Genomic DNA, 26,867 nt, shown 5'->3' with positions numbered 1-26,867 from the left:
TCCAACCAATAATTCCTTTTTTGTAGTTTTAAGCTCAAAAAACAAACCGGATAATAAGAATGTGATACCTAATAAGGAATTTACATGAAGTTTGGCTCTAAATTTATGGGTTTAGAATTTCTTTGAATGTTAAATTCCAGTTTCTAGACAGTTTGCAGGGGAATTATGAAGAAGGTAGAGCAAAGGATAAATCTGTATTTTCTTTGTTTGACTAAATTTAGAATGCCAGTGCTTTTTTCAACCTAGAAAAACTACTTATTCCAATTTTTTAATTAAATGCCTTTTAAAATTCAAATACTATATTTAGAAATATATAATGAGAATTTTAAAACATGATCAGTGTATCATAATTTTTAAAAATATGTTTTACTCATATGTTAGAAAATCAGAACAATAATTGTCAATAATTAAGTGTATGGATTCTGATATTACATGAAATTGAACAGTAGTAGGCAAAATTTGTTTATTCTTCCAGAAAGCATGATTACAAAGGGGTACTTACAGTAGTAAGTCATCGTATTTAGTGTTAAGATAAATCAAATGGAATCTTAAAATGTTAGAGAATGGCCTATTTAAAATGTTCTTTTCTCCTTTCTCAGGTTTGAACCAACTTTTCTGCCTTCTAGTAAATAAAAATTGCCACAAGAAAAACCTCAACCCTCTAGAAATTTAGAAATGTGAGATGTAGAATGCCAGAACTCTCATATGAAAATCAAATTGAAACAATTGACCTAATCTAGAATAACTAACAAGATTCATCAATAAATATTTAAATAGCCACAAAGACTGAGAAAGTATAAGCGATTCTAGAAGAAATTTGACTTCACATATTTAATAGCATAAACTCTATAAACTAAATAAACCACTAGAATATTTTGAAATTCAGTAATTGTATAGTATTATTAATAATGTATTGTTATTTTGCAACAATTTACTTGTAAAATCTGCTAGTGCAAAAAAGTAATTATATTTTAAGAATTCAGAATTTCAGTGTAAGAAAAAAATTCAATAAAACAACTTTCCTACTACAATCACAGTGAAAATCACAAAAAGTAATATGAATTCATCTATAAATTCACATTTAAATAAAATTTTAGAAAGTATAAAGATATACTTTCTGTATATGTGTCACTGAAATGGAAAGTATACTAATATTTTTATCACAAGCTACCTTAGATCTCAGATTTATATCTCTAATACAAGTTCTATTAAAAGAAACTGGTTCTCCTTGAAAAAATGGCTGATTTTATGTCTGGAGTTGAGACAAATTGATTTTTGAACATTTTGTTGTATCAGAAAGAAAGCAGCTTCCAAGACTTAATGGAACTGCATCAAAAGGACAAAGAAGCCAATCTAAAGTGGGCTGTCACTGGATAAGCTGAGAGACATGAGCATGAAAAGGGGAGTATTGGCTGAGATCAATGATATACAGTAATTCTAAAAAGTCATGAGTCTATAATGATATAAAAAGGAAAAGTTAACATATAGTCATTGTGAATACAACAGAATGTTTCTGTTGAGTTTTGTTATTCAATCTTCTTGATATTATTTACCCATTTATTTTATCAACTTTGAAAACAATAAATTAAACATACCATTTAGTAGGAATTTTCTCTTCTCAAAGACATATAAAATATCCAAATTTAATTACACATAATTTTATGTAACTTTGAACATCAATAAATGCGCAATTCTTTTGGTTGCAATGTTTTGAAAACTGCATGTCTTAGGACATCCTCAAACACAAAGATGTGGAAAATACATTACATATTTTAGAACTTATCAACTTAAATGGTAATTGCAGACTTCTAGTCCTCCACAGAAGAGTCAGGTGAAGTATGTAACTCAAAATGAGAAAATTTGGCTAAGTAATTCCTCCTTGAACTGACAAACACTTTGACATCAAATTGCCACAAAAATAGGTGACCTGAGACCCTTCCAATTCTTCTGATTTTATAGTCTGCAATTTATAGGACTGTGGTGTACAGGTTACAGGAAATTAGCATGAGAGGGCTGATGAAGATTTCAAAACCTGGAGAATATTTTGCCGACACTGTCAAATATTCACCTCTATTCTAAGTTTCCTTGTTAGCTTAACAGTGGCTTCTGGGTCCATACTGAACTTGATATCCCCTAGGCTCTATCTATTTGGAAGACTGGATCTATGGAAAGGGATTATAGAGAAAGCATTGCTTATTACCTAGTGCCTTGTGGAAATTTCTGAACAACCTTCATGCACATACATGCATCTTACTACAAATTGTTCTACAATCCATCAGACATCCATAGAAAAACGATAACCACATCAAAATAAGATGGGTCTGAATTGTCCACAAATCATACATACCACTTATAATCAAAAGTTGGGAAGAAAACCCCCAAATTTTCATCACTCCATAACTTTTACTTAGAAATTTCAAAATGGTTTAGCTTGTAGTGACTATTCCTGGTTGAGTAAACACCACAGTGAAGTCATAAAAAATAATGAGAGTACCCAAGACACAACTGAAGGTCATCTGGCATGAGTTAGAAAACTACTGACCTAACATTGGCAATAGGATCCATAAAGTTTTATTTTGTTTTTATTTGTAGTTTACTGCTCCTTACCTGGCTCTCATCACGTTCATTTCTTTCAAGTGTCTCTTAACAATGATGGCAAAAAAAGTTTTTTAAAAGGGAATATTTGGAAAGGTATACGTTCAGCCTCATAAATATATAGGTATGAAAGTTTAGATTTGTACAGCCACAGAAAGAGTGCTATGATGAAAGCAGCTAGCATAATCCACATAACTTCACATAATACATTCTAAAATTTAAATAATTAACGAGCAAAAAAATTTAATTTACTGCCTCAATGTCATAGTCTCATTTGTTCTTCAAAATGAATATTGTGCCTCTCCTTTATTTAAAATGTTTATGTGCTTCTCCTTTCATACATACACCTTATTTTGTTACTAACTCTTCTGGTTTTAAAGTATGTAGTGGATTTGTTTTCTAAACATATATTATTGCTTTTCTGAAGTTTGTTTTAATATAAGAACAATTACTGGATTGGTAGGATATCTTGAACTGTATACATGTATAAATAGAGCACTAGATGTGTTCAGAACTCAAGCTTGGAATTGTTGCCATGTTTTCTTTCTGCACGCAGACTTTTTAAAAATCAGCAAAATCTATATTTCAACAAACTAAAAAAATAAGATATAGTGTTGTGGTCTGTGTGGGACTTCAGCCTGAAACTTAAGCTTATATTTAGAGACAGCTTGAGGACACTCAAAGAGCCAAGTAACAAAGGTTCCAAGAAAGACCACCTTTGAGCTAGTGACTGAATCTGCAACATCCACATTTCTTGGTGAGACAGAAATGCCTAGTCACCAATATAAGGTCAGGTATTAGATTGAGATATATTTTGTCTGGGAGAATTGGTTTCTGATTTATGTCTCAACTCAATATACCCCTTAATGCACATATATAAACATTATCATACTTACTGTGTAATGCTATTACATGTAGGAGATGTTTTACCACCAAACATTGGATCATTTTACCTGATTGTGTATCTGTTTCACACTAAAGTTTTTATCAGAAATTTCCATGTATAGCATTTTCATGACTTTGAATTAATGACTCATATTTTAGGATTTAGAATTCACAGATATCTGTTTTTAGTCTTTCAAGCCTTTCCACGTACTTTTAAAACTCAATCCCACCTTAAAAATCAGACTGTAAATGCCAAGAACTGCCTACACAAAAAATAAACATTGAACAGAGCTGAAAACATTTTTTTCAGTATTCTGTGCAAAATAAATCCTGGTATGTACCGTGGGGGAAAAAACATAACATTCTTTAAGAAGTTATCAGGAAAAATACATAGAATGACAGCTTGCGTCACTTCAGTAAAGTAGGGTGAGCGTATCTTATGTGCTATTGAAATATGCTATCATCTGTGTGATTTTCTAACTTATCAGCCAAAAAAGTATGGCTTATTATGAAACTGCCACAAAAATTGTTAAGCTAAAAAGTATGGGCTTTTAAAACATCAAATTCACATACAGTTTCTTTGTTTCTTCAAAACCTTTTCATTGCTAGGTTGACATTCTGTCAATATATATTTTTTGTAGAAAGTGAATAAACTAGATCTAACTTTAAGATAAAATCGTTTGTTAAATTTTAATTTTTGAAGATGCAGAAGATAGTACAGTAGACTACAAAATAACGATTTTTTTCACTTAAAAAAGTTAAAAACCAAATAAATTACTAATGAAGTCCTCTTGTGATTAATAAAACAAATGTGTTAATATTATTAAAATACAATGTCTCCCTCCTATTATCTATAATAACAAACAACCAAAGGAAATATAGGCAAAATATATAAATAGGCATTTCACAGTTTTAAAAAATTGTCTAAAATTCCAAGGATGCTGTTTTTCTAAAAGTAATGTAAATTAAAGCAATATTGTGATATGCCTTTTCATTATTTTTGACAAAAATAAAATTCTGACCTATAAAAAGTCTATAAAATCTAGGTTTGAGTCATAATTCTAACGGACACAATTCCAAATGTCACAAACTTGAATGCTGAAATATTTTAAGATTAAAATCCCTAAAGTTTAAAGCTCTAAAGTTTAAAATTCCTAAGGTCTAAAATTCCTAAGGTCTGAAATTCTGAAAATCACAATCGCAGGATAATTGCATCATGTTAGACAGACGATTCCTTTGTTATTGTCTTTATTTGGGAATTAAGTATGTTTTAAAGAGATGCATATAGCTGCCAAATTGACAAGGGGTGGATTTGATTTTAGGAGTCAACGTGACTGGCTTGAGGCTTTTATCAGGAAACCTGATAAAGTATTATTTTGAGTGTCTGCTAGGATGTTTCCAGAGGAGATTAGTGGGTGAGTCTGAGTGAACTGGGTGGGGAAAATCCAGTCAGCGGGGGGCCCCGGGAGAACAAATATAGAAGGTGAACACGTCTCTGTCTGAGAGCTGGGACAGACTTTCCTTTTTCTGCCTGCACATCAGAACTCCAGGCTCACTGGTCTTTGGACTCTAGGACTTATGCCAGTGGCCCCTCGGGTCTCAAGGATTTTATGCAGAGCCACACTACCAGCATCCAAGGGTGTCCAACTTGTGGAGTCTTCTTTCATATATCTATATACATATCCTATTCGTTCTGTGTCTCTGGTACACCCTGATTAATACATATTTGGCATTGGAGGAAATTAACTATCATTTCTTCTTACTGTATTCCTTACCACACAATAGGAGAGAACAGTGAAATTGTTCCCTCACCAAAAGGCTGTGATAAGTAAGTATACGAGGCTACTTAATGATGAAAGATAAAGTCTAAAAGCTGATTATTATTGGTACTGAAAAAGCAGAAAATTGCTTAATGCAATGGCCAAGTAATAACCAGACTTTCAGATGGACAATAAATTACTTACAAACTGTGTAGACCACAGCCACCCTTCAATACAAGTGCAGAGTGCTTTGAAGATCATAAAAGTAAAAACACCGGAGAAAAATACAAGAAATCTCCCCTGCCAAATTATTCAATCGTGTACACCTTCTGCCTCTTAACATAGAACCATGCTTGCCTTCCAAAACTCTCTTTGTCAGAGAATAAAAAGAATTTAACAAGCTCAGTGACGTTGTGAACTGAAGACACTTTCAGATATTGAGGTTCCTTCAGTGACAAAACACATTAAATGAACAACTATTCCTTCTTTGAGGCAGAGTCTCGCTCTGTTGAACAGGCTATAGCACAGTGGCATGATCACATCTCACAGCAGCTTTGACCTCTGGGAATCAAGTGATCCTCCCACCTCAGACTCCCAATTAGCTGAGACTACAGGCGCGAGCCACCATGCACGGCTAATATTTTCATATTTTGTGGAGTTGGGGTTTTGCCATGTTGCCCAGTGTGGTCTGAGACTCCTGGGATCAAGGGATTCTCCCACCTCAGCCTCCCAGTGGTGGGATAAAAGGCTTGAGCCACTTTGCATAGCCATGAACTATTCTTTTTTTTTTTTTTAACTTTTAAGTTCAGGGGTACAAGTCAACGTTTGTTACATAGGTAAAGGTGTGTCATGAGGGCCTGTTGTACAGATTATTTCATCATCCAGATAGTAAGCCTAGTACCCCTAGTTATTTTTCCTAATCCTGTCCTTCCTCCCACCCTCCAGCTTCTGAAAGGCCCTGGTGTGTGTTGTTCTCATCTATGTGTCCATGTGTTCTCATCAAAAGAAAATGTGGTACATATGCACCATGGTACGCTATGTATCCATAAAAGAATGAGATCATGTCCTTTGCAGGCACATGGATGGAGCTGGAGACCAGTATCCTTAGCATACTAACACAGGAACAGTGAACTATTCTTGATTACAGAATTGACTGTTGAAAAAGAAAGAGGTTTGTTTGTTTGTTTGTTTGTTTGTGACAGAGCAAGACTCTGTCACCCAGACTGGAGTGTAGTGGCTTGATCTCGGCTCACTGCAACCTCCGCCTTCCGGGTTCAAGTGATTCTCCTGCCTCAGCCTCCCCAGCAGCTGGGATTACAGGCGCGTAGCACCACGCCCGGCTAATTTTTGTATTTTTAGTAGAGACAGAGTTTCGCCATGTTGACCTGGCTGGTCTAGAAATCCTCAGGACCTCAGGTGATCCGCCCGCCTTGGCCTTCCAAAGTGCTGGGATTACAGGTGGGAGCCACCGCGCCTGGTCGAATATAGAGTTTTTGTACTTAATATTAAATCTAACATAGAAAAACTGGCAAATGCTTCACTCAGGCTAAGGGATGGCACTTTCTAAACTGTCCCCACTGTTTTTTTAATCAACTATATACAAGTCATGCCCCTGTTGGATCCACAAATTCTATAACTTATTTGCTTGTTTATGTATTAATGACTGGAACAAATGAAGCACTTTATAAATGCTTATTTGAAGATCTGGTGGACTTTACAGAAGAAAATGCATTTCATTTGAATCCCACACCATCATGACAGATTTGGAATTGGGCGTGGTCAAGGATTTTAAAAGTGGATTTCAAAGTGTTACCAATAACGTTAGTTTTCCTCCATTCAGCCCAATACATTTGGCAGAAAATGTAGATGGGTGGATGAGCCACACAAATATCACAACAATGAAAACCTTAGCTTAAAACTGTGTCATTTGCCTGCATTGGAATTCCTTCCAGCTGAAGACATTCTAGGAACTTTCAAAGCTTCATTTGCCTGAAGAAGCCACTCAACTTACTGACTGGTTTGAAAATAATTATGTGCTTGGCAAAATAAGAAGACACTTAGGCAATGGCACTGCTATCCAATCACCAGCACTGTTTCTGTCAAACCTGTGCTCTATATGAGTGCAAAGCAGAATGGATTTCTGTGTGTCATCAAACAACACAGAGCCATGGAAATACTTCATAGAGAATGTATATGTTGGTGTATATAAAATCATAACTGAATTTTAAAAAGAGCAATGCCAACTAGAAAATGAATGTAAATGTATTCTGTAAGGAGAGCACTGTTCTAAAAGACTAAAAAATAAAAGCAGCTATTCATCATGAAGCAAAACTTCAAAATAGAGTTGGTCATCATGAAAGTTAGTCAGGTCTTAGGGACTTTGTGTAATTGTCCATGATCTTTCCTTGTAATACACTTCTTTTCATATGTAGAATTTTCTTTTCGGTTTTTAAGTTTTTTTTTCCCCACTATTTTAAATTGTTAGCATTTTGGTTTATTTGCTTTCTGAGACAGGATTTCATTCTGTCGCCCAGACTGGAGTGCAGTGGCACCACCATCGAGTCCCACTGTAGCCTTGACCTCCTGTGTTCAAGCAATCTTCCCACCTCAGCCACCCAAGTAGCTGGAACTACGGGCACACACTACCACACCTGGCTAATTTTTCATTATTTTTATTGTTTTAGAGACAAGGTCTTGTTATGTTCCCTAGGCTGGTCTCTAACTCCTGGACTCAAACGATCCTCCTCCCTTGGCCTCCCAAAGCATTGGAAATTGCAAGCATGAACCTGTTTTTATTTATTTTTAAATTTTTTAGCAATTCACAATGGTATGTATTTCATCTTTGCATCATTTCCAGTACTGCAGGTATAAATTCTGTAGAGGCTTTCAGAGAGTTTTAACTCGCTTTATGCAATTTTCACAAATTTGACTCTGGAAAAGTGTCTTATCACAATATTGACTTTGTGTGTAAGCATTGTGTGTGTGTACATAAAAATGTTGAATCATTCTCAATAAATGAAGATATGTCCTTTTTGTACATGTGCATTCTTGAAAGATAAAACTTCTCAAGATCTAGACTCTTCAGATGATGGCATATGTGATTGTGACCCATCATGGTTATTGATGATGCCATCAAAGACCTTTACATTGTTTATCACATTTCAGATCAGTCATCTGAATATAGCTGGATGCACATGATTACCAACCATAGTGACATACATTTATATAATTTGCTTTTTGACCTATTTCTTTATTAATATGATTTGTCTGCTCATAACTTATAGGCATGTGACTTTCATTTGTATAACTAAGTATGCTTACAAAATATAAAGTTATTATTGCCTATTTTATTGTGTAAAATGGCCTATGAAGAGTTCTGTCATGTTTTATATGTTTCCCAAATAAATCCCATTTAAAAATGAAAATAAAGATATTTTAAATAATTCTTATTAATTTTTCTAACATGGTATTTTCAGAATTTTGATCTTTTGGAATTTCAACATAGGGAATTACAGTATTCAGGATTGTGTCTTTTGGGAATATGATGGGCTCCCATAAAATTCAGAACTGGTCATGAAGGAAAGAATCAGTATTTTCGTGTATGATTGTTTCCGTTGTAAGGTTGTACTGAGGTGGGATTTGGGACTCAAACACTGGACCAAATTGAGGACTAGCTAAAACAGTGCCTGGTTGTAAGCAGCTTTCTATAAGACACACCCACCAGTGTGCCACATCAGTTTACCATTGCCATAGCAATGCCCAGGAGTTACCGCCCCTTTCCATGGCAATGGTCCCACAACCTGAAGTTTACCACCCTTTCCCTGGCAATTTCTGCATCAACTGCCTCTTATTCTACATGTAATTAAAAGCAGGTATAAACATGACTGCAAAGTTGCCCTAGAGTGCCACTTGCAGCAAACTGCCTATGGGGTATCCCTAGTCTGCAGGAGCAGTCATGGAGCAGTAACACGGCCAGAGCTTCAACACCCCTGAAGCTTAACACTGCTGCTTCAATAAAGCTGTTTTCTTTCACCACTGACTCACCCTTGAATTCTTTATGGGGCAAAGCCAAGAACCTTCATGGGTTAAGCTCCACTTTGGGGCTCACCTGCCCTACATCAGTATAAACATTTGGAGATTAATTTGGCAGTGTCAGCCTTAAAGTATTCATATTTCCTTTGTTCCAGCAATTACACTTTTTGAAATCTGTCTGACAGAAATACTACAATTTCTCCCATTCATCACATAATTTAAACAAAGCATCCAGATTATGATCATTTGGTTATGAGTGTGCCTAAGCATTTTTATATTCTTAAGTGTAATTCTATTCAATTATTGATATGGCAATACTGAAAAAGGGTCAATTCCACTTACAGAGTTGTTCCTGGACCTTATTAAATTACCGAAAACTCGCTCTATACACTCCCATGGCAGAAACAAAATTTAAATACACTCTGTATGGCATTTTAATATGTATTAAAGTTGTAATTTCATTTATGCAGATGATCAAATTTCCATATATTAAATGTATGTCTTACATTGTATTTTAAAAGAATGTCAAAGGAAACAGAAAAAACAGACACAAAAACAGGCTTTGTAGCACATGAAGAGATCTTCCACTTTCTTGAAGAGCCACAAACTCAAAGATTTTAATGGTACAAAAGTATCTACTCCTAGAAAGTATAACAGTTCTTCAGGTTTCAATGTTTCTTTCTATCTAATTTAAGCTTTCGAAAGAGAATCTGGAAAGAAAATGAAGGCTTAAACCAGTCATTATGAATAAAAAGAATCATGACTTTGAAATCATAACATGCTATACATTAAGAAGTAGTTCCTTGAAAATTCTCAATATAACTGTCTCTCAGTGTTTATTGTATTTTGTGCCAGAATTTCCATATTTTAATACAGACTGAAAATCTGAATTATTTCAAAAAGAGTCAAAAATCTCATTTCATTTTTGTGGCCCTTCATTAGCAATCCTATGCATAATTTCTCCAAGTTTTCTATAGGTGTGGAGCAATGTGCAGAATGCCTTGATTTTCTTTAATGTTAGGATTGATTTTTCCCTTTAGTGATACTGTAAAAGTTTATTATTGTATAAAACTATTTGATATATTAATTCTATTAATATATTAAGCAGAATATATTTTATTTTGTTTAAAATCTGTTAGATTAATTTCACTAGGCTGAAACATAGAGTGCCACTCCCTTACTCCCTTTTTACCACCCCCTCCAATAATGAAGCGTTAACAGCTTCCTCTCAGCTTCCTTTGTGGTGTTTGCCACTACAGCTATTTATGACACTTCAAGCAATGGCAAGAAAGAAACACACTATTTAAGCTCAGGCACAAACTGTTCTCATTCTGAAAATATTAACAGTGAAAGTCATTCAGCTGGGAGCCCATACTGATTTCTAACCTTGATCTTATTTATTATGACACCAATATGCTCTTGTCAAAAGAAATAACAACCTATATTTTATATATTTAAAAAGGTCCAGTTCAGATGCTTTTGGATCCATGCTGGGCTCTCTATCACAGATTTTTTTTTTTTTTATAATCCTCACAGCTTTCCTGTCTTGGGATTTATTATTATACAAATAAAACATAAGGGTTATTTATAGTAGAATCTGAAAACTAATACATCATTTCCACTTTATCGTCTCATATTTGTAATTTTCTATGTGATCATGTTATTATTTAGCAGCTTCAGTATAGTTTCTAATCAGGATCACAAAAATTACGTTTGTCATATGCTTAAAATTTCACACGGTTACACCATATTTTCTTTCTCTAAATATTATTTATTGCACTTATATCTTGCAAACTTATTTGATTATTGCAGTTAAAAAAACAAACCTTCCACATGTGTCATGAAACATATCCCCAAAATTCTGTATTCTAGGGATTAGCAATCATTCACATTTATTACATAATTGACTGAGAAGCTTATGATTTTGCTTTACTGCACTATGATCTCAAGCATTCCACAAGGATATTTTCATTTCACAAAGTAATTCAATTCTAGATTACTATGTTTGGTACCTAACTGGTTTTTCTTTAGCTATCATTTAATCTCTTCACACTTAAACAAATTCTGACCTGTATTTGGTTATGCAATGTTGTATCATCTTTGTTCTCTTAACACTGTCATGAAGCACATTACCTTGGAGGTAATGTCTATATTCCACATTCAAATGGAAGATAAATTTAGTTATTAATATTGTTACTTTGAGGGCCATAGGGAAGGAAAATGTGTTACAATATATGAGTGGCCTCAGTGATTATTTCAAATGTTCTGTATTACAAAAATTGTGTGTACTTTTGTCCATCAAAGGTTTAAATCTCCACATCAATAATCTTATAATAACATTTAACTTTTCTCCATCTTTTTCTTATTGCATAGATAGCTGTAATATGGTAATAAAATCTCCAAAAAAACTGAAGAATACTGAAGAATGTTAGACTAAAAATTTCATAGTTACATTACCCGATTGATAAATATATTAAGAAGTTATTTTAATTGTCATACCCCACAGATGTTTATTTAAATTATAAAATTCTTAAATTACTCATCTTGTTAAATGAATCAATTTTTTCTTTTTTTTTTTTTTTTTTTTTGTGAAAGAGTCTCACTCTGTCACCCAGCCTGGAGTGCGGTGGCACAGTATCGGCTCACTGCAAGCTCCGCTCCCAGGTCCAAGGAATTCTCATGCCTCAGCCTCCCGAGTAGCTGGGATTACAGGCGCACACCACCATGCCCAGCTAATTTTTTGTATTTTTAGTAGAGATGGGATTTCACCATGTTGCCCAGGCTGGTCTCAAACTCCTGAGTTCAGGCAATCCACTTGCCTCAGCCTCTCAAAGTGCCAGGATTAAAGGCGTGAGCCACCATGCCCAGCTAAATGGATCAGTTTTAATTTTAATATTATTCATTTAGAAATTATATTACTGATTATAATTTTATTTTGTTATTATGAATAAATAAAATAAAATTTAAAAATCAAACATTTTGAAACAAATCACGATTGGAGATGTTCAAAGGATAATGCAGACACAAAGTGAAAATGCAAATCAGGCCATCACAGGTTCTTACGGTGTTTACAATCTATAGGAGAAAAGATTTAACCTGAATGGAAGCAATATGTGACTTCTCAGAAGAGATGGCATAAAATCTATGTCTTTAAGGGCAAATAGACTTTTAAGTGGAGAATATGATCTAGAAAAAAAAGTATTACAAATAGAATAAATAGTATTGGAGAAGCATAGAGTTTTAAAGAATGTGATAAATCTGGGGAACATGAGAAATGTCCTATGGATATTGCCAAAGGTAAGGAGAAATAAATGATAGGAGATAAAGTGATACTGAAATATTGATGCTATTTGGAGGAGGCCAAGGGAAGGGGCTTGGACTTCAGCCTGGAGGTTAATGGAAGTTTAAATAGGAAAGGACAAATTCATAAATGATTTGTAGGAAAAAACTTTGTTGTGTATGTGGACAAACTGAAACACAAAAAGACTTATTCCTTTCATCTCACTCTATGTTGGCTGTTCTGACTTCCTAAAATAACTAATTACAATACTAATCATTTTTAAATGTAACAAATATGCCATAAGATAACAGGTAATTCTTGAATAGGTAACTAGTGCTAACCATTGTCCTAAAAACTTTATACATATTAAAACACAAATCTTACAACAAATCTTTGAAATGGGAATTACTACATACTCATATAATTACTATATACTTATTTTGCAGTTGCAATTGAAGCAAAAAGTTTAAGTATCTTGTTCTAGGTTGCATAACTAGGAACCTGAATTATTTAATGATTTTCAGTGTTTACATAATTCTTAAGAATGCTACCTCTTTGGAAATCTTACACATGCTAAGTATATTTTTAAACATCTATATTAAACAAAAATTCTGAATAACTTTAACCTTAAATATCTGTTAGCTTATACTGGAGGCATTTATTTATCTGAAAAGATAATTCTGTGAAACTTGTATTGATATCACTGCTATATATATATATACTTTTAGTTATGGTGTAAAATAACAAAGTTATTTTCCTATATTCTAAGAAACAAGTTTAGATTTAACTGAAAAGTAAATTTAATTTTTTTCTTTTTAAATTCTATGTAATTCAACAATACATAATGTTGGTAGGTTTTGATTATTTTTCCATTGCTATGTTGATCTTCATTTTTATTGGCTTATTATTTTAATTATGTATAAATAAATGATATTAACCTTTTGTAACATATGCTGCTAGTATTTTTCTCTATTTATAATTTTGCTATTATATTTATAATTTTAATTAATACACGTAAATTAAAGTATTTGAAAATGAAGTCAGAGGGATAAACTTTTACCATTGACTTTTGTGTCTTTTATTTTGTGTTTTAAAAATACCAATCACAATCCCAAAGTATATAGATATTTATCTCTATTTATCTCAATAAAAATGATACAGTTAATATTATCTCGTCCTTACACCATTTGAACAATTCATCTGTTTTCTAATGATTTACCCCATTATCCATCTAACTCTTCTTAGTTCATAATGTAGAACCTGCTCATCAATACTTTCTCTTCTTCTTTTCCCACTCCCTCAAATGTAATGACTAATCTACATCTTTCTATTGAATGGTATAAAGTATGTTTTATCCATGTTGAAATTCTTACAGCATTAACTATTGTTATTTATTAACAAAATCATATTAAAATCCTTTAATTTTTACATACATTAACTTTATGAATACATTACAAAACACTGGAAGGCAGAAATTTTGATGTGATAGTCTATAATCTCATAGTCAAGCACATAGACTTTGTTTCCAGACTCCCTGATTCTGCAAGCTGGCTCTGTAGCAAAGTGGCTGTGCAACTTACTAAACCTCCACCTGCTCCTGGTGTCTTACCTGATTACTAGAAAAATAATAACACAATATTAAATGAATCAGTACATGTGAATCTTTAAGAAGATTTTTTGGCATATAGTAAGCACTATGTAAAAGTTAGCTATCACTAGATTTGATATAAATTGCAAGCTTTTAGTAACCTATTTAATTTATTGCAGTACAAAATACAACTTTATTCAGTGACTAAAACCTATGTGGAAGCTTCAAAGTTTTTTCTTCCAAAATTCAGATACAAAGAATTTTGAAAAATACACACAGACTTGCTGCTGAGATCAATAACAAGGCAAGGATGTCCATTTACCGCTTCTTTACAACATCATACCGGAAGCCCTCACTAATCCGATAAGACAAGACAAGACATATAGTTACAGATTGGAAAGAAAGAAAACTATCTTCAGATGTAGACGACATTATTATCTATGTAGAAAATATAAAAGAACAGTCAAAAGACTCCTGAAACTAATAAGTGATTATAGCAAGGTTGCAGGGTACGTGATTAATATACAAAGGCCAACTGCTTTCCTATTTACCGGAAATGAACAAGTGCAATTTAAGAATAAAAATAAAATACCATTTACTTTTGTACCTCCCCAAAATAAATCCTTATGCATATATAAGTTTAAGAAATGTACAAGATCTATACGAAGAAAACTACATAACTCTGATAAAATTCATTATAGAAAAACTAAATAAGCAGAGAGCTATTCCATGTGAATGGATAGGACAACTCAATATTGTTAAGATGTCAGTTCTTCTCAACTTGATTGAGTGCCATCCCAATAGAAATCGTAGCAGGCTCTTTGTGGGTATCACAAACTGATTCTTCAGCTTGTATTGAGAGACAAAAGAGGAAAGTTAGATGGCAAATTATTAAAGGAGAACAAAGTTGGAAGACTGGCATTACCTAACTTTAAGATTCATTATTAAACTAAAGTAATCATGACAGTGTGGAATTGGTGAAAGAATGGACAAATATATCAATGGAACATAATAGCCCAAAAATGAAACCATACAAATATCATCAACTGATATCTGACAATGGAGCAAAAGTAATAAAAGTGATGAAAGGGTAATCTTTTCAATAAATGGTGATGGAACAACTAGACCTTCACACGCAAAAATATTAATCTAGACACAGACCATACACCTTTCACAAAAATTACCTCTAGATGTATTTTTCACACACCTAAATGTAAAACACAAGACAATAAATCTCCTAGAGGATAGCATAGAGAAACTCTATCAGTTGTGGCATGGCAGTGACTTTTCAGAAACTACTCCAAAAGCATGCTCCATGAAAAAAAATAATCGATTATTTAGATTTGATTAAAATTAAACACTTATGCTCTGCAAATAAAAATGTCAAGGGATGCCTCCAGCTTTGTTCTTTTTGCTTAGGATTGTCTTAGCCTATATTGTAAACATATAGGCTCTTTTTTGGTTCCATATGAAATTTAAAGTAGTTGTTTTTCTAATTATGTGAAGAAAGTCAATGGTAGCTTGATGGGGATAGCGCTGAATCTATAAGTTACTTTGGGCAGTATGGCCATTTTCACGATATTGATTCTTCCTATCCATAAGCATGGAATGTTTTTCCATTTGTGTCCTCTGTTATTTTCTTTAGCAGTGGTTTCTAGTTCTCCTTGAAGAAGTCCTTCACATCCCTTCTAAGTTGTATTCCTATGTATTTTATTCTCCCTGTAGCAATTGTGAATGGGAGTTCACTCATGATTTGGCTCTCTGTTTGTCTATTATTGGTGTATACGAATGCTCGTGATTTTTGACATTGATTTTGTACCCTGAGACTTTGCTGAAGTTGCTTATCAGCTTAAGGAGATTTGGGGCTGAGGCGATGGGGGTGTTCTAAATATAAAATCATGTCATCTGCAAACAGAGACCATTTGACTTCCTCTCTTCCTATTTGAATACCCTTTATTTCTTTCTCTTGCCTGATTGCCCTGGCCAGAACTTCCAATACTATGTTGAATAGGAGAGGTGAGAGAGGGCATCCTTGTCTTGTGCCGGTTTTCAAAGAGAATGTTTCCAGCTTTTGCCCATTCAGTATGATATTGGCTGTGGATTTGTTATAAATAGCTCTTGTTATTTTGAGATACATTCTTTCAATACCTAGTTTATTGAAAGTTTTTAGCACGAAGGGCTGTAGAATTTTGTCGAAGGCCTTTTCTGCACCTATTTAGATAATCATGTGGTTTTTGTCATTGGTTCTGTTTATGTGATGGATTACATTTATTGATTTGCATATGTTGAACCAGCCCTGCATCCCAGGGATGAAGCCAACTTGATCATGACTTCAAACTATACTCCAAGGCTACAGTAACCACAACAGCATGGTACTAGTACCAAAACAGATATATAGACCAATGGAACAGAACAGAGTCCTCAGAAATAACGTCCCACATCTACAACCATCTGATCTTTGACAAACCTGACAAAAACAAGCAATTGGGAAAGGATTCCCTATTTAATAAATGGTGTTGGGAAAACTGGCTAGCCATATGCAGAAAACTGAAACTGGACCTCTTCCTTATGCCTTATACAAAAAATAACTCATGATAGATTAAAGACTTTCATGTAAGACCTAAAACCATAAAAACCCTATAAGAAAACCTAGGCAATACCATTCAGGACATAGGCATGGGCATCAAAAGCCAAAATTGACAAATGGGATCTAATTAAGCTAAAGAGTTTCTGCACAGCAAAAGAAACTATCATCATAGTGAATAGGCAACCTACAGAATAGGAGAAAATTTTTGCAATCTATCCATCTGACAAAGGGCTAGTATCCAGAATCTGCAAAGAACTTAAACAAATTTATAAGAAGAAACAAACAACACCATCAAAAAGTGGGAGAAGGATATGAACAGACACTTCTCAAAAGAAGACATTTATGTGGACAACAAACAGATGAAAAAAAGCTCACCATCACTGGTCATTAGAGAAATGCAAATTAAAAGCACAATGACATACTATCTCATGCCAGTTAGAATGGCAATCATTAAAAAGTCAGAAAACAACAGATGCTGGAGAGGATATGGAGAAATAACAGTTTTATACTGTTGGTGGGAGTGTAAATTAGTTAAACCATTGTAGAAGACAGTGTGGCAATTCCTCAAGGATCTAGAAACAGAAATACCGTTTGACCCACAATCCCCTTACTGGGTATATACCCAAAGGATTTTAAATCATTTTATTGTAAAGACACAGGTACACGTATGTTGATTGCAGCTCTGTTCACAAAAGCAAAGACTTGGAACCAACCTAAATGCCCATCAATGATAGACTGGTTAAAGAAAATGTGAGACATATACACCATGGAATACTATACAGCCATAAAAAAGGGTGAGCTCATGTCCTTTGCAGGGACCTGGATGAAGCTGGAAACCATCATTCTCAACAAACTAACGTGGGAACAGAAAATGAAACACGGCATGTTCTCACTCATAAGTGGGAGTTGAACAATGAGAATACGTGGACACAGGAAGAGGAACATTACACATTGGGGCCTGTTTGGCGGTGGGGGGCTAGGGAGGGATAGCATTAGGCCAAATACCTAATGTAGATGACGGGTTGATGGATGCAGCAAACCACCATGGCAAGTGTATACCTATGTAACAAACCTGCACGTTCTGCACACGTATCCCAGAACTTAAAGTATAATAATAAAAATAAAAAATAAAAAAAATAAAAATGTGAAAGGAATGAGAACACAAGCCAAAGACATGGGAATGTTAGGCAGCAGAGAGGCTCTTCCTCTGCAGTTGGTCAGTAGAGTTCTGTGGTGTAGGGGAAGAGAGTGATGACTCCCTCACGTAGTCCGCTTCTGGGCCTTGGAGGAATCTCCTCCGATTACTGACTCTGTGCCTAGGTTTATTTTGCTAGGTTTTCTGGCCCACGGGGTTCACTAAGGCAGAGGTTGGTTGGCAGACAAGTCATATCCTTACCCATTGGATGCTGGGAGGGAGACACATGCTTGCTCCTCAACCAGCCTGCAAAGCTGGGCACCTCACCTCTCAGTGATCTGAAAGTTAGGGCTTCTCTCTGCCTGGGTACTGCCCAAGCCAACAAGTCCTCGTTGGCTGGGATCTGCAGGGGTGTTGTGGGTGGGGGTCACCTAATCTGCTGTCCGGGTGCTTCCCAGGAGAACACAGGGTTGCGCATGCAAATTCAGGCAGAAGCAAGATTGCTGGGCTGGAAGCTCTAGTGAGTGTGGTCCATTCGTCTGCTAAAGACGGGGATGGGTGGAGCTGTTCACCCTGCCCTCTGGGTATTTCCCAGGGCTATAGGAGGCTGTGCTGCTCAGCAGATTTCAGGGAGAGTTAAGGCCCTTAGGCTGGAAGCTCTAGCAGGCGTGGCTTGCTTGGCTAGGAGAGGTGGGGTTGGTCGGAGTCATCCCCTCCTGATATTCAGGGATTTCCTGGGACAACAAGAGACTGCACCTGCCGGATGAATTCACTCAGGGGCAGGAAAGCTGGGCTGGGAGCTCTAGCGGGCGTTGCCTGACTACCTCACTGTCTGCTCTCTGAGGGATGTTTCCTGGAACAAGTGGTTGCGCCCACCAGCTAAGTTCAGGCATACGTGGGGCTGCTGGCCTGGAAGCTGGCGCTGAACCCTGTGCATGTGTAGGGTGGAGGGGCGGCTGGCGGCTGGAGGGAGGGGAACAATCCTGCTGCTCCTGGGCACTGTGACTGCAGTCTCTACTGGGGAGATGGCACTGGTGCCTCTGTTCCAGGGTCCAAGGCTTGTGGAGGTCCCCTTGGACTTGAGAGCTGCCGCTGCAACATTTCCGGTGGCTCTCTGCCTCAGTTTAGAAGCTGGGGGGAGGGTGCAGGGAGGCCGGCGGGGGGAAGGGGGGCGGTGGTGGGGGTCTTCCATTCGCAACCTTACACAGGTTCCCGCGGAGAGTGTGAAGCCCTCAGGGGCCTCTTACTCACTCACCCTTTCCTGTGTTGGGGAGCTTCTCCTGGCTCCGCGTTTATCCCAGACAGGCTGCTGCCCAGCTGCACTCCTCTCTGTTCTCTGTGTCGGCTTGCTGCCTTGATCGAGTCCGACACGGTTTCTTAGATATCAGCTTGTAGGGTCAGTGTTCACCAGCCCTTTGTCTCCTCCCTGTGAGAGCAGCGCGCAGGAGCTACTTCCAGGCCGCCATCTTGACTCAACCCCTCTTAATGATTCCTGTGTCTCCGGCTTTTAGAACTGAAGCAGTTATAAGAATATAGACATATTCCACTCAGTCGGAGTGTTCATAAAGGTGTTTATTTTGTTTGTTTATTTATGTATTTATTTATTTATGTAATCCCTGCAGGATAATTCTAAGTTGGTTTACTGACAACTATACGGTAAAATATTTATCTAATGCATTTGTCTTTCTTTAGTACCTTTTCTCCATGTAGTTTTGTTTGAGATAAAAGACAGACTCTCCCAGTTTTGAGGTAAAGCACACCTTAAAAAGAAATTGTTTTAAAACCACAGACTTCAAGCTGGTGTGGAAATAAAATTCTTGTTTTTAAATTACACTACTAAAGATTTAGATTTTTTTGTGTGATGAAGTCTCACTCTGTCGCCCAATTACCAATAAATATATATAGTAGTGAAGCATGCCCCACATGAAATGTAGTTGATATAACATCCATAAACTTTTGCTTAGATGAAAAAGAAAACAAAATTTAAGAATAACTTGATTATTTGAACAAGTCATAACATCAAATAACTGTAGATGGGAAAACCTGGGCTGTATTTAAAAAGAATACGTGCTGGGCTGGGCACGATGGTTCACACATGTTATCCCAGCACTTTGGGAGGCAGAGGCAGGTGGATTGCTTGAGCCCAGGAGTTCGAGACCAGCCGAAATTACAAGAATTAGCCAGCGTGATGACACACTCCTCTAGTTCCGGCTACTCAGGAGGCTACTCAGGAGGCTGAGGTGTGAGGATTGCTTGAGCCTGGGAGGTGGAGGTTACAGTGAGCCAAGATGGCACCATGGCACTCTAGCCTGGGTGACAGAATGAGACCCTGTCTCACAAAAAAAAAATAAATAAAAGGAGAGAGAGAGAGAGAGAGAGAGAGAGAAGGAAGGAATGAAGGGAGGGAGGGGGAGGGAAGGAAGGAAGGAAAGAAAATGAAAAGAAAAGAGAGAAAGCAAGCGAGCAGGGAGGGAGGAAGGAAGGAAAGAAGGAAGGAAAGGAAGGAAGAAAGGGAAGGAAGGAAGGGCATACATGTATGCTTTGTAAATTATGCTTTTTAAAAAACAAACTATTAAAACTGTAAAGTTTGCAACTATCTAGAAATTTTAGGAAAAGTTACATATATATATATACCCTGTATTCAGCACTACTCTAAACAGTAGTTTTATATCAGAGAACAATATAGACAGAAATTTCTACATTTACAAAGCTTACATTATTGCAGGAGATAAATAATAATACACGTAATTGTAGACTACATTTTATAATGTGCTAGAAAATGTTAGGTATTATGTCATTGAGGTACTTGCATCTTTATTTTCCAGTATTTTACTCAAGAGACAGCTGTATATATGTTACTCCAATAGGCAATGCCTTTATTCTTTTTCAGTTGGAAGTTCTTATTCTATTGGACTATTTTTTAATTATATGAGCACCAGAAAATTCATCTGAAAACACAATCTAATTATTTTAGTTATTTTTGAAAGGCAGTATTTGTTTTACAGTCTAAGGAGCATCAGTTTAAATCTTACAAATATAATACAATAGACAGAAAGTTTGGAAAATGTTTTACACTACACAATTTTTCTATATTCAACAAAATATATTACACCTTTATTAGAACACTATTACTTGCACATATTTCAATGCAATGTAGTTATTATTTTTCTATTTCCTTCCCCAGCGATATTAAGCACCATACTATATCTCAGCAACATGCATATGTTTGAATGGAGTTCATGAAAGGTAAGAGGAAATAGGGTGGAAATGAACCACTACCTCCTGATCATAGTGTTTGGTGTTAAGAAGCTTTAAGATGTTATGAAGCTTTAAGAACATCTGTTTGGTGTTATGAAGCTTTAAGATGCTTCAGCTTAACCTAATTTCCACTATCTAGAGACATTAAGAGTATTTTAAACAATATTGAAAACCAGACACTTGATTACTTCATCAGAGGGGTTAAACAGTGACAATCTGGAGGTGTACAAATAATGCCACTCCATAATTATTGGACTGAGATTGGTGTTGTAATGCAAATAATAAGATTATATCCTCGGTTAAATTATATAAAGCATGGTAACCTCCATTAAAATGTCACCATATCCACTCATATCACTAGTTTGAAAATATGTGTTTTCAATTTGATTACACAGAATATATTTTATTATAAAAATAAGTAATAAATTAGCCTAGAGAAAGGAATATTTTATTATTGGCACAAAGTCACAGTCAAGGAATACTACTTCATTAGTACTTAGTCATCAAATGTTTTATGTTATTTAAGACTCCCTTGAAAATGCAATGCAATTGGTACAGATTTTTACTTACTAAGTTATATATATCACCATCCTGTATAAATATTAACACATTTCTGTATTTTCTTTAGGCACTCTGTGCTATATGCAAATGGAACATATTTTTCTCTCTTAATATTTGATTCTTTCTGTTGTGGCAGACAGACCCTAAGGTTTTCAATCTCTTGGTGTTAAAGCCTTTGTGTAATCCCCTTCTTTAGAATGTGAACTAGATTTGTGACTTGCTTCTAACTAACAGAATATGACACACATAAAGCAATGTCACATCTGTGATTACATTACACTGTGTAAAACTGTTCTGCTAGCTCTCCTTGTCCTGTTGATCTTTAAGAAGCAAACTGAGATGTTTTGGTGAGGGTCTGCTTACGAAAAAGGTTACGTGGCAGAAAAAATAAATGGCTAAGCACTAAAGGTGGCCTCCATTTGACAACCTTTATGGATCCAGAGCCCTCAGCCACAGAGCTTCAAGAAAACAAATTCTACCAACAGCCTACACGAGCTTGGAAGTGAGTTATTTTGCCATTTGAGACTCCAGATAAATACACACCTTTGATAGCAGATTGTGAGACCCATAGTATTTTTCTGTATTATGAATATATAGTTACCACTGTTTCACCAATGTGCTGTTTTTAGAATCCTGCTAAACAATAAACAAAAATTATTTTTATTTGTGGCTAATGAGCAAGAAAATCTATAATACAATCAAATAGGTGTGTACTTGTTGAGTCAAAAGACATGAATTTGAATAGATATCATCAAAATAGTCTCCCCAAATTAGGATTTAATTTATCCTTTTATCATAGTGCAAAGAATTCATGGTCCAAAGGATATTTAACCTCCACTACCTTAAGAACTCAAAGTTAGCACTGCCAACAGACAATGGATTTTAGAGACTGCCCTAGATTCATTGCCAATGTTATCTCTGAAAATGAGATTTAGCTCATGACACATATAACACACCATTCATCTGCATGATTCATTCTCCTTCAAATAACTCAATTTGGGGTGGGTTTATTTGACTGACAAAGAAAATATCATAGGCTTGTTGTTGAATTACAAGTAAAGTTAGTAAAGTGAATATCTACCATGATTTGTTTCTTTAGTAAATTGTATTGCAATGTTGTATATGCCCAAAGTATAAAGTTCACCAAAAAAAGGCAAATGTCCACCCTATATTAATTTATTCATTTATCTACCAAAGCAATTCTAGACCTGTTCTAGCATGTTAGTTATATATATAGACTTAGGTATGCCCCAGAGTATTACTGCTATAAAGAACTACCTGAAACTGAGTAATTTATGAAGAAAGAGATTTAATTGGCTCACCGTTCCACAGGCTTAACAGGAAGCATAACTGAGAGGCCTCAGGAAACTTACAGTCATGGTGTAAGGTGGAGGGGAAGCAAGCACATTCTTCACATGGTGGCAGGAGAGAGAGAAAGAACGAGGGGGAAGTTCCATACAGTTTTAAACCATCAGATCTCCTGAGACTAAACTCACTATCATGAGAACAGCATGGCGAAATCTGCCCTCATAATGCAGTCACTTCTCACCAGATCCCTCCACCAACATTGGGAGATACAATTCAACATGAGATTTGGATGGGGACACAGAGCCAAACCATATCAGGTATATTTGCAAGAACACTTTACAGAAAATAAAAAGGCCAAGAACAATGCATTGAAAAGTTACTGTATCTGCGGAGGTAAAGGAGGCAAGCATAAAGCAGTCTTTCTAGAAGTGCGCATGAGAGGATTAGCAGGGAGGTAGAAAAGATGCCAGACCAAGGGGAGGATAGCTTATTTGTTTTTATGTATTTTGAAAAGTGATACTCTTGTATAATTCATATGCTTAGACTAAAGTGTCCATAGGCAGAGTGAAATTAAAGGCAAATATAGATTCATATGTGGAGAAAGGACCTGCTAGAAATGAGAAGATAAATGTTTCAGGTGTATATATCAAGAGGGAAAAGAAACTTCTTGTTTCAGGGGAAAGTTTACAGACAAAAAAAAGTAGATATATTTTTAAAGTCCACACTTTCTGAGTTGAGAATGGAAATAGAAAATGACACTCTGACAGAGAGAAAGGTATACCTGCCCAGAGATACAGAGAGCATGCCAAACTTCATGTAGGGCTAGGATATGTTGAAAAATCAAACCTCATGTTGAAAACTCATCCCCAGTGTTAGAGATGGGCCCTGGTGGGAGGTGTGTGGGTCATGGGGATACATCATTCATGAGTCTTGACGCTGTCCTCACAATAATGAGGGAGTTCTCCCTCGGAGTTCACATGAGATCTCATTGTCTAAAAGAGTGTGGCACCTCCCCGCTCTCTCTCTTGCTCCCCTCTTTCCACGTGAGACCGTGGCTCTCTCTTCACTTCCTGTGATGATTATAAGCTCCCTGACACCCTCACCCAAAGCTGAGCAGATGCCAGCACTATTCTTGTAGAAGCCTGCAGAATGTGAGCCAATTAAATGGCTTTTCTTTATAAATTTTCCAGCCTCTGTATTTGTTTATAGTGACACAAATGGAATAACACAGGCTATTTTGTATTTTTATTTCTTTGGGCATAACTGCTTTATACTTACTCTTTTTCAGTTTTTTTTCTCCTGAAGAACTTTCATTTACTACATAAAATAGGAACAGGCATTATTTCCTCAGAAAAATCCTTCTTCTCTTTTTTTTTGTAACATTAAGTAAGATAGATCCCACTCCATGTTTGTTCTCTTTTTCACAATGCTGTATATATCTACTCATATATGCATATATTTTGGTATATATAACTGTCTACATTTTGAAAAATACTTTGGAAAAATATTATGGAAGTTTCACAAAAAAAGAAAAATAGAATTACCATCTAATCCAGCAATCCCGTTTTTGGGTATATTCAAATGAATTGAAATAAGTATGGTGAAGAGATGTTTGCACTCCTATATTCACTCCAGTATTATTCACAGTAGGCAATATTTGGAAGAAACATAAGTATCCATCAGCAGATAAATACATTTTTAAAATGTGATACACACAGAAACACATAGATACACACACACACACAAACACAGAGAGACAGAGAGAGCATGGAATTCTATTAAGCTTTTAAGGTTTGCAACAAAATAAGCAAATCTGGAGGATATTATGCTAAGTAAAATAAGCCAAACACAGAAAAACAATTATCACATGATCTCACTTATATGCAGAATTAAAAATTTGAATTCATAAATGCAGAGAGTAGATTTGTGGTTACCAGAGCCTGAGGGATGAGGAGGACATGGATGGGAAAAGGGAAAATTTTGTTCAAAAGACACAAATTTCAGTTAAATGAGAGGAATAACTTCTGGTGATCTATTGCGCAGTGAAGGGACTAGAGTTGATATTTATGTATTATATATTTCAAAGTTGCTGAGAGGAGATTTTAAAAGTTTTCTCACTGCAAAAAACAATGGTAAATATGTGAGATAATAAATATGTTAAATTTGTTAGCTTGATATGGTCATTCCACAGTGCATCAATTTATTGAAGCATCACATGCCACACCGTAAATAAGTAAAACCATTTTTTGTTAATTAAAAGTAAATTGCTTAAAATGTGAAAACTGCTTGACCCTTTAATGTTTTGCAGCCTACATTGTAGAAATAATCTAAGGTATTACTGATAGGTGTTATCTAACTTATGTATATATTTTACTGTAAGAGAAAGACAGTTACCCATAGAAAAAAACAACACTGAACTTGGGAAGACTTCAACCTCTTCACTCTCCAACCTCCACTCCCTTCAGAGGTAGAATTTTTCTGAAAGGATCAGGAAAATGTATTTTCTCTGCACAATTTTCTCTCCAAGAAAAGCATACTAAGAATGTTTGCTTCTTATACTCCACATAGCCATCATCTACCACAGTCATTCATCTGGACTTCAAGTCTGCCCTGCTGGGAAGTAGGTCACCACCTCTACACTGGGCCACTGTCAAGATCCAAAATGTGCTAAAACTTAGTCACCACTCTATTTGGTAGCAATCCAAAGTGGACCAAAACATTTCCTAAGTAATACCAAGGTCAAAAATATAATGTCGATATGTCAAATTTTGATCTCTGTGAGTGGATACTAGTAAATGGAGAGTTGTTATGAGTAGGATGAGAGGAAAGTTGTTGGTTGTTTCATAAAAGCAAAGAAAATTAAGGAAATAAAAGTAAGCCATCAACAAGTACATGTCCAGCATTAGGAGACATACCTAATGTAAATGACAAGTTAATGGGTGCAGCACACCAACATGGCGCATGTATACATATGTAACAAACCTGCACGTTGTGCACATGTACCCTAGAACTTAAAGTATAATAAAAAATAAAAAAAACAAGTACTTGTCCTGTTTAATTTTTAATGTTTTCCTGAAATACGTTAAATGTTGGCCACTCCCTAAAAGAGGAAAGGGCCCTCCCTCATTATAAAATTTATAGCATGGTATAATACAAGGCTGAAAAATGTCCTAGTAGACCTGTTTTTAAAAAATATTAATGTGCCACTTTAGGCAGAAGGAACATGATCCTGGAGGGAAGCATAAGTATGTAGACAGAAATAAAGAACAATAGAGATGGTAACAATACAAGTAAATTAATATTTAAGAAGAAAAGAACCAGCTGATCACCCGTAAGTGTTAAATACATAGAGAAATAAAATTAATTTTTAAAATCACATAAATGGTGAGAGGAGTAAACTGTTTTAAGGTCATAATATTATCTGACAAGTTGTAAATTTTCTTATTTATACATGGGTATAATATGTCAAAGATTCATGTTGCTGGGATAATACAGTAGTTAAAAAATGTATATTGATAGTAACATAGGAAAAATGGAAAAATTGGAATTAAAAAAACTTGGTTAATCCCAAAGGAGGTAATATAGTAAAGAAAAAACAAAAGAGTTGAGACAAACAGTAAAGAAAAACGGTCTACATAAACTCAAATATAAGAAAGAAAACAATATATGTCAACAAACAAAATATTTCAATTAAAAGGCACAATTTATCTTTTCTACTTTTAACTTCAATTTAAAAACACACACGGTAAGTGAAGGGGAAAGGGTAGGAAACCTGGAAAAAAAGGTAGAGATTTAAACAAAGTTTAAAAAACAACTAATAGTGTTAAATATTATCAGCAAAGTACAATTGTATGACAGGAAAATTTCCGTTTTTTAAA

General features: G+C 35.4%; 2 long non-coding RNA genes across 2 annotated transcripts in view; one reads left to right on the top strand and one right to left on the bottom strand.

Annotated features, from left to right (window-relative positions):
• The window catches only part of LOC105372745 (uncharacterized), a 122,882-nt gene extending 103,535 nt beyond the window's left edge, over positions 1–19,347 (bottom strand). The window contains exon 1 of the long non-coding RNA XR_937603.2: positions 19,118–19,347. This is a non-coding gene — a long non-coding RNA (uncharacterized LOC105372745). The remainder of the gene's footprint in view (positions 1–19,117) is intronic.
• A 28-nt stretch (positions 19,348–19,375) lies between these two features.
• LINC01683 (long intergenic non-protein coding RNA 1683) lies at positions 19,376–25,852 on the top strand. The gene is made up of 3 exons (NR_146910.1): positions 19,376–19,430; positions 21,047–21,108; positions 25,558–25,852. It is a non-coding gene; the product is annotated as a long intergenic non-protein coding RNA 1683 (long non-coding RNA).
• Positions 25,853–26,867: the final 1,015 nt, after the last annotated feature.

The sequence above is a fragment of the Homo sapiens genome, chromosome 21 (assembly GCF_000001405.40).
Source record: "Homo sapiens chromosome 21, GRCh38.p14 Primary Assembly".
Classification (NCBI taxonomy): Eukaryota; Metazoa; Chordata; class Mammalia; order Primates; family Hominidae; genus Homo; species Homo sapiens.
The sequence above is the reverse complement of the archived record's forward strand: the minus strand, read 5'-3'. Positions and strand labels throughout refer to the sequence as shown.